This window comes from Homo sapiens, chromosome X, assembly GCF_000001405.40.
Source record: "Homo sapiens chromosome X, GRCh38.p14 Primary Assembly".
In the NCBI taxonomy this organism is placed as follows: Eukaryota; Metazoa; Chordata; class Mammalia; order Primates; family Hominidae; genus Homo; species Homo sapiens.
In genome coordinates this window covers 139,654,210-139,669,329 of record NC_000023.11, presented here as the reverse complement: position 1 = coordinate 139,669,329, position 15,120 = coordinate 139,654,210, and the positions used below count along the sequence as shown (strand labels likewise).

The 15,120-nt window shown below is 38.8% G+C and overlaps 1 protein-coding gene across 8 annotated transcripts in view; it reads left to right on the top strand.

Annotated features, from left to right (window-relative positions):
* The window catches only part of MCF2 (MCF.2 cell line derived transforming sequence), a 126,398-nt gene that overhangs the window by 38,838 nt on the left and 72,440 nt on the right, over positions 1-15,120 (top strand). Inside the window, exon 1 of one of the 8 annotated variants that reach the window (XM_017029531.2) lies at positions 12,616-12,633. The exons of the other annotated variants lie outside the window; for them this stretch is intronic. The gene's annotated coding sequence lies outside the window, so the exon portion shown is untranslated. Of the gene's footprint in view, positions 1-12,615; positions 12,634-15,120 lie in introns of those variants that run through there. 8 annotated transcript variants of the gene reach the window in all.

The window sequence follows — 15,120 nt, the reverse complement described above, 5'->3', positions numbered from 1 at the left end:
ATTGTGGTTTCCATATACATTTTCCTAATGACTAAATGATGTTGAGCATCCTTGCATGTGCTCATGGACCACTTGTATATCTTCTTTGGAGATATGTCTATTCAAATATTTTGCCCATTTTAACTCAATTCTTTGTCTTTTTGTTATTGATTTATAAGTGTTCTTTATATTCTAGATACATGTCCCTTATCAGATATACGATTTGCAAATATATCCTCTTATTCTGTACGTCATCTTTTCACTTTCTTAGTATCTTTTGAAGCACAAAGTTTTAATTTTGATGAAGCCCAATTTATATAATTTTAAACATTTGTACTTTTGATGTAATGTATAAATAAGAAGGTTTTGCCAAATGCAAGGTCACAAAGATTTACTTCTATAATTTAATATTTTGATTGTTTTAGCTGCTACATTTTGGTGTTTGATCCACTTTTAGTTAATTTTTATATATATACATATATATATGACATATGTAGATATCCTGTTATTTCATCACTGTTTCTTGAGAATACTTTTGTTTTCCCCAGTGAATTTATTTGTTCTTGTCAAAAGTCATTTGAGAGACGTATCATGATGGCTGAATAGAAACGTTTCATACTTGCCCCCTCCACTTAGAAAAACCAAAATAGCGTATAGACAATCACACATTTTGGATACATTATCCAAGAAAGAACACTGAACTTCAACAGAAGAGTGACAGGAAACACCAAAATCAAGGAAAGAGAAGGAAGAGAGGCAGCCTGCTTGGCCGGGATTGGCAGGCAGCTGGGAGTGACTTCCCAACACAGGGAAAGGTTAAGTGAGAGACTTTTAGTGACTCACATCCCCACACTGGAAGCATGCAATCCTGGCCATGGAAGAGGCCCTCTATCTTCTCAAAGCCTGAAACAAACATAAGGAGTTACCAGGAGACCGTGAGATGGAACTGCTCCAGGGAAGGAACTAGCACTAGGACCCACACCTGTTCTGAGTCTTGAGTGGCTACATCAAGACACTATTTGCAGTCTTAGCCTTTAACAGACTGCACAGTATCCTGGAACCCAGCGGTGTTGGGACTGAGGTGTTATTGCTGCTGGAAACTGGGGAATCAGCCTGCTGATAACTGCCAACATTGCTGTCAGTGTACACTACCCTGGGGCACAAAGATAGGCATGCTCAGAGACTGGGAGTGAGCTGGGAATGAACTTACGCAGCTGGAGCTGAGAAGCAAGTGCATGGGTTGCAGCTGCCGGTGCTAGAAAGGGAGGACCACTGGGACTAAGCTGGGACATGAGTGAAGCATGAGTTGTGGCTGCAACTGAGTCATGGGGCTCCTACAGCTGGGGCTGAGGCACAAGCTAAAAATGGGCTACCACTATGTTGCTCAGGTTAGTCCCAGTCATCAGGGTTCAAGTGATCCTCCTGCCTTGGCCTCCCAAAGCACTAGCATTACAGGCATGAGCCAGCATGCCCAAGCAGTATGCTACCACTGCTAGAGCTGGGGAGTGTGCCCCACTGGGATCGGAGTGTGAGAGTTACATGTGCTCACCACCCACCAGCTTGGACTGTGGCCACCAACAGCCCCACCCTCTCCAGTGACAGGGCCTTAGCATGGCTGCTACCACCCTTTCCCCAAACACTGCCCAAAACCTGAAGATCACCCAGATCCTACCTACCACAAGCAGTGCCTGCTCTCACCATTGGAGACCTGAGCATGAGCCTGCCCACACCCCCTGAGACAGAGCACATAGCCTGGAATCATGAGGGATGAACAACCCAATTCACCACTTTGGGCACCTGAACATTCCTCCTAGGGGCTGGATGTACGACCTAAACTCCTGGCTACTACCACCTCAGCTGACACCTACCTGCAAATGCTACCTGCAGGCCTGGAGACTGGCTTGGCCAGCACATTGCAGCCACCACCTACATCAGTGCATACCGCTTGGGCATGCTGGCTCATGCCTGTAATGCTAGTGCTTTGGGAGGCCAAGGCAGGAGGATCACTTGAACCCTGATGACTGGGACTAACCTGAGCAACATAGTGAGACCCTATCTCTTAAAAAATAAAATAAAATAAGCCAAGCATGGTGGCACATGCCTGTAGTTCTATCTGGGTAACAGAGCAAGAACCTGTCAAAAAAAAAAAAAAAAGAATTCAAAATATTGATTTTAAAGAAGCTCAGTGAGATACAGGAGAATTCTGAAAAATAATACAAAGAAGTCAGAAAAACAATCAGGGTATGAATGAGAAGTTTACCAAAGAGATGGATATTTTAAAAGAGAACCGAATAGAAATTCTAGAACTCAAGAATTACTTGAAAGAAATACAAAATACGTTTGAAAGCATCAATAATACACTAGATCAGGCAGAAGAAAGAATCATGGAACATGAAGACAGGTCTTTTGAAATAACCCAGATAGAGAAAATAAAGAGATTAGGATAAAAAAAGAGCAAGCAATTTTTTGGGACATTTGGGACAAAATAAAGCTACTGAACATATGAATTATCAGTATCCCTGAGGGCAAAGAGAAAATGAAGAGATTAGAAAATCTATTTAAAGAAATAATAGATGAAAACTTTCCAACCCTAGCAAGAGATTTTAGGTGTTCAGATGCAGGAGTCTCAATGATCCCCAGGAAGATATAATGCAAAAGGTCTTCTTAAGGGCACATTATATTCTGACTTTCTTAAGTCAAAGATAAGGAGTGAATTCTAACCACAGCAAAAGAAAAGTGTCTAGTCACCTGTAAAAGAAACTGCATCAGACTAACAGCAGATTTCTCAGCAGAAACTTCAGAGGCCAATAGAGAATGGGATGATACATGTAAAGTGCTGAAAGAAAAAAAATACCAGCCAAGAATACTATATCCAATAAACTATCCTTTATAAATGAAGGAGAAATAAAGTATTTTTTAAACAAGCAAATGCTGAGGAAATTCACTTTAGGGCCACCAGACTGGCCCTAAAAGAAATGCTCAAGGGAGTCCTAAACCTGGACACACATTTACTGGACATACATTTACTACCATAATTGAACTCATAAGCATAGAGAGTAGAAGGATGGTTACCAGAGGCTGGGAAGGGCATGGGGTGTTGGGGGAGAGGTGGGGATGGTTAATGTGTACAAAAAAAAAAAAGAATGAATGAATAAGACCTACTATTTGATAGCACAATAGAGTGACTATAGTCAATAATAACTTAATTGTATATTTTTAAATAACTTAAAGAATGTAATTGGATTATTTGTAATAATAAGGATAAATGCTTGAGGGGATACATACTCCTTTCTCCATAATGTGCTTATTTCACATTGTATGCCTGTATCAAAATATCTCATGTGCCTTGTGTGTGTGTGTATGTGTGTGTGTATATATATGTATATATATAATATACATATATATATGGTTTGTGTGTGTGTGTATATATATATATATATATATATATATATACACACACACCTACCATGTACCCATAAAAATCAAAAGGAAAGGATTATAATATCCTTATAAAAAACACATGAAAACACATAACTCACTGATAAAGCAAACACACAAAGGAGAAAGGGACACAGATACTAATCTGAGGAGCAGAGCAGGATGGCAGAATAGAAGGCCCCACCAATCATACCCCCTGCAGGAACACCAAATTCAACAACTATCTACATAATAAAAGCACCTCATAAGAACCAAAAATCAGGTGAGCATTCATAATACCAGGTTGAAACTTCATATCACTGAAAGAGGCACTGAAGAGGGTAGGAAAGACAGTTTGAATTGCCAATGCCATCCCTCCCCCACTACCCTGCAGTAGCCACATCTCTGCAGCATGGAGAAATCTGTACACTTGGGAGAGGGAGATCACAGAAACTGTGGGACTTTGCATTGAACTCAGTGCTGCCCTAGTCACAGTGGAAAGCAAAACTGGGCTGAACTCAGCTGATGCCCACTCACAAAGTGAGCATTCAGGCCAGCTTCAGCCAGAGGGGAATAACCCATATCAGCAGTAGGAACTTGAGTTCCAGCAAGCTCGCTGCCATGGGGTGAAGTGCTCTGGGACCCTCAATAACCTTGAAAGGCAGTCTAGGCCACAAGGACTGCAAATCCTAGTGTGGAGTTGGGTTCAGAGCCAGTGGACTTGGGGAACATGTGACTTTACTGAGACACCAGCCAGGGAAGCTAAGGGAGTGCTTGTGCCACCTCTCTCACAACCCAGGCAACACAGCTTGCAGCTCCAAAAGAGACCTCTTCCTTCCACTTGAGGAAAGGAGAGGGAAGAGTAAAGATGACTTTTGTCTTATATCTTGGGTAACAACTCAGCCACAGAAGGATAAACCACCAAGCAGAGTCATGAGGCCCCCATTCCAGGCTCTAGCTCCCATACGGCATTTCTAGACACACCTTGGACCACAAGGGAACCTACTGCCTTGAAGGGGAAAAGCCTATCCAGGTAGGATCCATCACTTGCTGACTAAAGAGACCTTGGGCCCTGAATAACCAGCTGTGATACCCAGGTAGTATGCCATGGGCCTTGGGTGAAACTCTGAGATGTGATGGCTTCAAGTGAGACCCAACACATTTTTCAGCTGTGATGGCTATGGGGAGAGACTACTGCTTGAGAAAAGCAGAGGGAAAAGTAAAGGGGACTTTACTGTCTTCCACTTTAGGTACTAGCTCAGCCACAGTGGGATAGAGCACCAAGAGGGCTCATGCGGTCCCTGATTCCAGGCCTTGCCTCTGGGAGGGCATTTCTGGACATGCCCTGGGCCAGAGGGAAACCTGTTGCCCTGGAGGGTGATTCCCAGGCATGGCAACATTCACCACAAGCTGATTAAAGATCCCTTGGGCCTTAAGTGAATGGAAGGACAGAAGCCTGTATGGCTTCACCTTACCAGTAAAGAAACACATAGACTCAATGTAAAGGAATGGACAAAATATATTCCATGTAAATGGAAACCAAAGGTGACCAGGAATAGCTGTACATATATCAGATAAAGCAGATTTTACATCAAAAATGGTTTTTTTTTTTTGTTTTTTGTTTTAAAAAGGCTGGGCGCGGTGGCTCAATGCCTGTAATCCTAGCACCTTGGGAGGCCGAGGCAGGCAGATTACTTGAGGTCAGGAGTTCGAGACCACCCTGGCCAATATGGCAAAACCCTGTCTACTAAAAATGCAAAAATTAGCTGAGCATGGGGGCTTGTGCCTGTAGTCCCAGCTACTTGGGAGGCTAAGGCCGGAGAATTGCTTGAACCTGGGAGGCAGAGGTTGCAGTGAGCCGAAATCGCACCACTGCACTCCAGCCTGGGTGACAGAGAGAGACTCTGCCTCAAAAAACAAAAACAAAAAACAAAACACAAACAAAAAAAAGCCACCCCAAAAAACAAACAGTAAAAAAACAAAACAAAACAAAAACTGGAGAAAGAGAAAGGAGGTCATTATATATAATTAATTGGTCAATCCAGCAAGTGGATATAACAATTCTAAATATATATTTACCCAACACTAAAGCACCCAGGACCATAAAGCCAATATTACTAGATCTAAAGAGAGATATAGACTGCAATACAATAATAGTGGGGCATTCAACACCCCACTCTCAGCATTAGACAGATCACCTAGCCAGAAAATCAACAAAGAAACATTCGATTTAAACTGTAAATTAGTGGGAGCTAAATGATAAGAACTTATGAACGCAAAGAAGGAAACAACAGACATTGGGGTCAGCTTGAGTGGGAGGATGGGAAGAGGAAGAGGAGCCAAAAAAAAAAAAAAAACAAAGCAAACTATTGGCTATTGGGCTTAAAACCTGGGTGATTAAATAATATGTACAACAAACCCCTGCAACACGTGTTTATCTATGTAACAAACCTTCACATGTACCTCCAAACCTAGAATAAAAGTTAAAAAATAATGAAAAAGTCTGTACATTAGACTGAATGGACCTAACAGACACTTACAGAAGATTCTATTCCTTAACTGCAGGATATATATTCTTTTCATCTACACATGGAACATTCTTCAGGATAGACCACATTTTATGCCACAAAACAAGTATTTAACAAGTATTTAAAGGGAATTCTTATATACTGCGGGTAGAAATGTAAACTAGTACAGTCACTGTGGAAAATACCATGGAGATTTCTCAAAAAATTAAAAATACAATTACCATTTCATCCAGCAATCCTGCTACTGGGTATCTACCCAAATGAAAAGAAATCAGTATATGAATAAGGGATACTTGCACTCACATGTTTATTGCAGCATTATTCACGATAGAAAAATATGGAATCAACCTAAGTGTCCATCAACGGATGAATGGATAAAGAAAATGTGGCATATATACACAATGGAATAATATTTGGTCATAAAAAATGAAATCATGTCATTTGCAGCAACATGGATGAAACTGTAGGTCATTATTTTAAGTGAAATAAACCAGGTTTAAAGGTAAATATTGCATGTTGTTACTTAAATGTGAGAGCTAAAAAATTCATCACATGGCAGTAGACCATGAAAAGACAGATAACAGAGACTGAAAGGGTGAATTTGGAGAAGGGGGAGGGTGAAGAGAAGTGGGTAAAAGGGTACATACAATTAGAAGGAATAAATTCAGTGTTTCATAGTAGAGTAGGGTGACTATAGTTAACAGAAATGTATTGTACCTGGGTACCCAAGCACTTGGGTACTTGGGACACCTTAAATACCATTTTGATCCCTACACATTATATACATGTAACAAAATTTTACATGTACCCCATTAATTTGTACAAAAAAATCAACTGACCCTCAATATATGGGCTACTTTTTTGGACTCTCCATTCCATTCCATTGATCTTTATGTCTATCCTTATGTCAGTACCACACTGTCTTTTTTATTGTAGCTTTGTACTAAGCTTTGAAATCGGGAACTGTGAGTTCTCTAACTTTGTCCTTTTGTTTCGAGACTGTTTTGGTTAATTTGGCTCCCTTGTATTTCCATATGAGTTTTAGGTTCCACCTGTTAATTTCTGTAAGAAAAAAGCGAGCTAAAATCTTTATAGGGGTTCTTTTCAATCTGTATATCAATTTAGGGAGTATTGCTACTTCAATAGTATTATATTCCAAGATATGAACATGGATTGGCTTTCAATTTCTCAGATATTTAATTTCTTTCAATAATATTTTATAGTTTTAAGAGTATGTTTTCCATTTATGCTTTGTACAATAGAAATAAAATTGATTCTTCTATCTTGACCTTGTATCCTGCACCCTTGCTGAATTTGTTAGTTGTAACAGCTTTTGTGTGTCTGTCTGTCTGTCTGTGTGTAAATTCCTTAGTGTTTTTTATGTACAAGATCACATCATTTATAAATAGAGATAGTTTTACTTTTTCCTTTGGGGAAGTGACTATGAGCAGTGGGTTCCCCAAGACTATCCCAGGTAAGATGGTTTATGAGGTGGACTCACATGACTCGAACATAGTTGAACTCATGGCTAATATTATTACAACAAATATATTTATATACATATGTGTCATATATATGTCGGTTATAAAAAGACTGGAATTTATTTTTTGAATTTTCTTTTTCTTTTTTTATAGTTGTATGTGCTTGGCTCTAAGGTACTTAATATAGGGTTTTGGACAGAAAAATGAAAAACAATCAAATGTGATGATGGCATTCAGATCTAAGATACCTCCAGATTTCAGAAATGTTAACATTTGAATAGAATAGTACTTAGCATCTTAGAATAGTATTCAGGACAAGTTTTGTTTGGAGTTTTATAACTGATAAGAGAGAGCCTTCCTCCTACTTTTCCTTTCTCCTTCTCCTTCCCACACATTTTGTTGTATACGTGCTTGTACAAAACCTGAGTCATAGGGAATCTTCAGTGAATTGCCTGAGGTTATATCAAAAGTTGGTAGCTAATTCACTGTAGAAGCCACCAGTTCTTATATCCCTGCCATTCTGTTGTAGGCGTTGACTGCCTGGACAACATCTTTGTGTTAAGTCAGTGATGCTGAATCAGAGGCTTTCAAGAAGCCTGTTTTCCTCCTCTGTCAGCATGCAAGATCCTACACTTTCTGCTTCTGGTCTTGCTTTCTAGCTTTAACTAGATCATCCTATCTCTATACTCAAACCATATCAGTCCCTATAAAGTCCCTGATTCTTTCACCTACTCCTATATTGATGCCTTGTTTCTTTCACTTGGGATGACATTCTCTGTTCCCCTGTCCATGTATTTGAATCCTAATCAATTTTGAAGGCTCAGCTTACATGTCTCATTATCTATTAAACCTTCCCTTTTCTCTCATCCTCAATTTAGATGTAATCATTTCTCCTCTCTCCATGCTTTATATTGCATATTTCTATTCTAGCATGTACTATACCCTGCCTTATATTATGGCCAGTAGTTTGTATATATTTCCATCTTCTCTTAATTTTTATGCTTTGTGAGGTGAGGAACTCTGTTTATATTCCCATGGGCCACAGCACCTAGCAGAGAGGAGCAAATGAGAATCCAGTGGATATTTGCTGAATTGAATTACACAATGGATTGGAAGGCGGCTCCAGTAGGTGTTAGCAGGAAAAGGATTTAATATGAATCTTGGTTTTATTCTGTTAGCACAGAATTATGAATGCCTTTTATATTGTACCTTTACTGCAGAACAAAGCACTGCATAGATTGTTTTACTGTAGTCCAATGGGAATTCATTTTGTGATGGTTTCAGAATTACCCTTTTATTTGTTTCACCTTTTAAAGCATAACATTTGTCAAGACAACATTTCAGTTTATTGCATGTGCTAAGTCATTACTATTTACAGATGGTATAGAGTATCGATGTTCAGATTGAAAGGAAAAAAATACACACATAGAATCCCATCTGCCTTGCACAGGATTTAGGACTCAAACAAAACCTAATTTTATCTGTCCTGCACATCAGAAGTAGGGAACTTTCAAAGAAATCATTGCTAAAAGTAAGCATCATTGTTGAGAATTTCAGGCTGTAAAAATAATGGAGTTTCTTTCAAAAGATTGTTTATAAACATTCTTGATATAGTTTGGGATGAAACCCATCCTGGAAGAAAATGGGAGGTTATGGAGTCATATCTAGTTAGTAATTTGCATTAGAGCTATTTGGGTATAACCTTCTGAGTACAGATTTTAGATGACCTATCTGAAGGTTAGGGAACTAGATAGATGACATGGTAAAAGCTTTGCTGAATCTCCTACTAGATTCTACTTTGCATCTGAACAGTGCCTGGCACCTGGCATTTGTTCAGTATGAGTCTTTCAAATGAATAAGAGAAGTTTGAATGAATGGTATGTATGAATGGTATGAATGAATGAAGTATGAAAGGTAGCCTCCCTGAGGCTGTTAACTTATCTGCAAGATAAGTGTTTTAATATCAACCCTGGAGGATTGTTGTTAGGACCAGAGAAACTGCATATAAAGTGCCTTGTGTAGTGCCTGGTTGATACTAGTTGCTCAGCAAATGGTAGCGATTGTTCATTTACTACACTTTCTCAGTCTGTTTTCATATTGGTGGTGGCAATGAGTTTATTGCCATGGAAGAGACTATCTTTCTGGCTGACATTTCCCTTTCTATTTTTATTTGTTTGTGCTCTGTTTTTACCTCTTATTTATTTTTAGGAAACCATGTGAGAGTAGAGGCATTTCCTCTTTTAAGTAGTTTATTTGCTATGGCTCCGTAGTGCTTGGATGACATGGCACGTGTGTGCAGCCTGGTTCAGAACTCATATTTTTCTATTGTATATGAATAGAAACCCCAGAGAGGTTGGATAAATGGACATGAGAGAGCGTCGCTGTGAAATAAAGTTCAAGTGTTGGAATTATTGCTGTTACACTCTGGGATCTGAAGTAAAAAAATGTTTTCTATAAAATGGGAAAGCTTATAGATACCAATTTACTTAATTTTTAAGCTATCATTAGCCCCATAGAATAACTAATAAACTTAGTATAGTTTAAATTCCTGGAATGGTGATATGTACTCAAATCATGAAGGCAAAGACTCTCAGAGAAATAGTTTTTTTTTTAATTTTTAAATTTTTTATTTTTTTTTTTAGACGAAGTCTTGCTCTGTCACCAGGCTGGAGTGCAGTGGCACGATCTCACCTCACTGCAACCTCCGCCTCCCAGGTTTAAGCAATTCTCCTGCCGGGCCTCCCGAGTAGCTGGGACTACAGGCACGTGCCACCACGCCCAGCTAATTTTTGTATTTTTAGCAGCGACAGGGTTTCACCATGTTGGCCAGGATAGTCTCCATCTCTTGACCTCGTGATCCGCCTGCCTCGGCCTCCCAAAGTGCTGGGATTACAGGCGTGAGCCACCGCACCCAGCCAGAAGTAGTTCTTAAAAGATCATTTGACCGGGCCTGGTGGTTCACATCTGTAATCCCAACACTTTGGGAGGTCAAGGTGGGAGGATCACTTGATCCCAGAGTTCGAGACCAGCCTGGACAACACAGGGAGACACCCCCACCCCGTCTCTACAAAAAATAGAAAAATTAGCTGGGCATAGTGGTGTGCGCCTGTAGTCCCAGTTACTTGGGAGGCTGAGGTTGGAGCATGGGTTGAGCCCAGGAGATGGGAGGTTGCAATGAGCCAAGATTACACCACTGCACTCCAGCCTGGGCAACAGAGTGAGACCTTGTCTCAAAAAAAAAAAAAAAAAAAAAAAAACACATCTTTTTTTAGCAGAGGCTTCACTCTGACAGGGTAGGCTTAAAGAATTTTGACCCTCTATTTGTAACTACTCATAATGTATCTTAAATTTCAAGTTTCTTGAACTGTTACCAAAGAAAGTTTCCTTGTTAATAACTGCTTGTCAGGAAATTTTTATTTTATATTTGTGAACTTAATTTCTGTGTTGTCACATAATGAGACAATAGGATGTTACATAGATTTTCTATAATCTTTCTGGAGCATTTAACAACGTATCTCCATACACTGATTTCCATGCTGAAAATAATTTCACAAGGAAATCATTCATTATGGGGAAAAAAAAAACCCACATTGCTTAATCCAATTTAATTTACTGAAGGAACAATATTCACTTAAGTCCCCAATCTCTTCCTTCTTATAGAGGACTCTTGGACATTGAAGATGAACTTTTACATATTCTTAAGGTAAAAAATATAAACAAATCCCAAAACAAATGAATATGACTCAGAATTCTATTAATTTCAAATTTGGAACATAAAAACTAAGTTCCTCCTGCCTCCCTTACTGACCCCTCCCAAATTCATGAGTATATAGATTTTTTTTGCTTTCTTTTCCTAGAATCACTTACTGTTGCTGAGAATATACCATTAAATCTTATTCTAAAAGATAATCTATTCCAGTCAACTATATGCTTGATTTTCCTCTCTTTTCTTTACCACAGAGCAGCTTGGCCTTTGTTTGAATGCTATTAATGATAGGAAAGGGATTGTCTATCTTCCATGAAAGTCATTTCATCTACAGACAGTTCTGACTTTAGAACAAAGTGCTTCTTCATATGGAGTCTTTCTAGCTCTCTCTCTTGCTTTCTGTTTGTCTTCTGTCTCTCTCTGAGGGTAAAAACCAACCAATGAACAACCAACCGACCAATAAACTGACTGAGCAAACCTGATCAATAGGTTTGAGAAATACTGCATACATAGCCCATACCCAAGGAGTCACAATGTGTACATGTGTATTTACTAGGAAATATTGCAGTGTGTTTAACCCCTAATATTTCACAAACTTACTTGATTGTGAACTTTTACTTTTTTTCAGAACATCTGTCCAAACACAGCTTAGAGCAGAATCTGGCATATAGTAGACACTCAATAAATATTTGTTTAAAAAGTGAATGAATGCAAAATAAATCTTTAAAAACTTTAAAGCACATGCTGTATTGAGATGATCCATGTTCTGCATTTTTACAAGTGACACAGCCAGACTAGAGCTACTGATTGGATGCGTATACCTTCCTTCTCTATGTGAGCCTTTCTAAATCAATTATTTATTTCCACACATTTTAGAACTTTAAAAATTCATATTTGGATTTCTAAGTTTGTATCCTCATTGGCACAACTACCTTTTAAATAATAAAATAAATATTAGTGATGTGTTTGCTTGACTCTTTTGCTTTTTGATCATATGTAGGAATGAATTAATTGGAAATGCTTATTTTGACTTTTGATTTCAATTTGTATCTGATTGTGTTTGATTGTACAAGCACATGGATTTTCAGCAGAAGTCTTAAAATGAAGATTTGCTCCAGTAGGGTGTTTTTAAGGGTGTTTATCAGATTACCTGTTGAGTTACAGCCCTTTATTTGGCTTCTAAGTCAGCTCCTTTTTGGGCTTAGCAACGAGTCCAATGTAAGGAGAATGAATCCTTTTTATCTGTGAGTAGTTGAGTTTTCTACATGAGACAGCTTGACAACCTTCCTATCAAACGTAAATCTAGTCAACAAGGAACATGCTGTAATGTGGACTTGATCCAGGTTTGGTGATCTAGGCTTTTTATTTCTCATGCTCTAAGTGAATGCATTTAAAAGGTCAGCAATAGGAACAGTATAAATTATTTGTTCTCACTTTTATATTTCAGGAAAAAATCCGTGTGGAAATTCGAGAGGGTCAGCTACAAAGCTGGGTGTAACTCAGTGTCACAACTTTATCTAAAGTCAGTATTTTCTGTTTCTCTTTGTTCTCAGCAACAATCTTACCTCGTCCCTTGCAGCTGCTCAATTGATAACTGTGTGTCTTCTGTTGTCTTTCCTGTGTTATCTTCTTCCCCTTCAGTCTGTTTCCAACCCAGAACTTGATCATTTATTAAAGTAGTAATATTTTCTCTTGTAACCGTGATTTCATCCTTTCTCTTTAGTGTGGAAATGTTATTTTATTGGCACAGTTGTGGGCTACATTTTATGATAGAAAACATCAGTCTGTTTTTACATCTATGGATTTTACATGTTGTTGGATCTCATAGAATGTAGGGTACCTTAAAAAGCATTTACTGGCCGGGTGCGGTGGCTCACGCCTGTAATCCCAGCACTTTGGGAGGCCGAGGCGGGCGGATCACGAGGTCAGGAGATCGAGACCATCCTGGCTAACACGGTGAAACCCCGTCTCTACTAAAAAACACAAAAAATTAGCCAGGTATGGTGGCAGGCACCTGTAGTCCCAGCTACTCGGGAGGCTGAGGCAGGAGAATGGTGTCAACCCGGGAGGCAGAGCTTGCAGTGAGCCGAGATCGCGCCACTGCACTTCAGCCTGGGTGACAGAGCGAGACTCCGTCTCAAAACAAAAACAAAAACAAAACAAACAAACAAAAAAAAACAGCATTTACTGTATTGCCCTCATTTCTAAAGTGGGAGTAATGACCACAGCTAATATTGTACTGAATGTGGAAAAATTGAAGGCCTTTTGTCCAAGAACTGGAGCAAGACAAGGATGCCCACTTTTGCCACTTTTATTCAGCACAACACTGGAAGTCCTGGCCAGAGAAACTAGGCAAGAGAAAGAAATAAGGGGCATCCATACTGGAAAGAAAGAAGCCTTATTAGTTTTGTTTGTAGATGACATGATCTTGTACCCGGAAAAACCTAAAGACTCCATCAAAAAACTGTTAGAACTCTATGAGAACACTTGGACACAGGAAGGGGAACATCACACACAGGGGTCTGCTGTGCGGTGGAGGGAAGGGGGAGTGGGGAGGGATAACATTAGGAGAAATACCTAATGTAAATAACGAGTTAATGGGTGCAGCACACCAACATGGCACATGTATACATATGTAACAAACCTGCACGTTGTGCGCTTGTACCCTAGAACTTAAAGTATAATAATAATAATAAAAAACTCTTAGAACTGATAAACAAATTCAGTAAAGGTGCAGAATACGAAATCAACGTACAAAAGTCAGTAGCATTTATATACACCAACAGCAAACAATCTGTAAAAGAAATCAAGAAAGCAATCTGATCACATTTACAATAGCTACAAAAATATAAAATACCTAGGAATCAATCTAACCAAAAAGTGAAAGACTATAAAATTTGATGAAAGAAATAGAAGAGGACACACAAAATTGGAAAGATATTTCATGATCATGGATTGGAAGAATTAATATTGTTAAAATGACAATTCTACCCACAGAAATTTACAGATTCGATGCAATCTCTATCAAATTCCAGGGCATGCTTCAGATAAATAGTAAAAAATTCTAATAACGTATACAGAACCACAAAAGACCTGAAATGGCCAAAGCAGTCCTAACCAAAAAGAACAAAGCTGCAGGCATTGTACTAGGTAACTTCAAAACTTGCTACAAAGCTGTATTGACCATAACAGCATGATACTGGCATAAAACAGACACATAGACCAATGGAACAGAATAGAGAACCCAGATGTAAATCCATACATTTACAGCCAAGTCATATTCGACAAAAGTGATAAGAATCTACAATGGGGAAAGGAAATATTTTCAATAAATGATGCTGGAAAAACTGGATAACTGTATGTGGAAGAATGAAACTAGATCCCTATCTCTCACCATACACAAAAATCAAATCAAAATGGATTAAAGAACTTAAATTGAAGACCTGAAACTATGAAACTACTAGATGAAAATGTTGGGGAAACTTTCCAGAACATTGGTCTGGGCAGAGTTTTTTGTGCAAAACCTCAAAAGCATAGGCAACCACAGCAAAAATAGACAAATGGGATCACATCAAGCTAAAAAGCTTCTGCATAGCAAAGGAAACAATCAACAAAGTGAGGAGACAATTCACAGAATGAAAGAAAATATTCGCAAACTATCCATTTGACAAGGGATTAGTAACCAGAAAATATAAGGAGCTCAAACAACTCAATAGCAAAGGACCCAAATAATTCAATTTATAAAATGGGCAAAAGATCTGAATAGACATTTCTCAAAAGAAGACATAACAATGACCAACAGGTATATGAAAAAATGTTCAACATCACTAATCATCAGAAAAATGGAAATCAAAACTACAATGACATATCTCACCCCAGTTAAAATGGCTTGTATCAAAAAGACAGGCAATAACAGATGCTGGTGAGGGTGTGGGGAAAGGGGAATTCTTGCACACTGTTGGTGGGAAAGTAAACTAGTACAGCCACTATGAAGAACAGTATGGAGGTT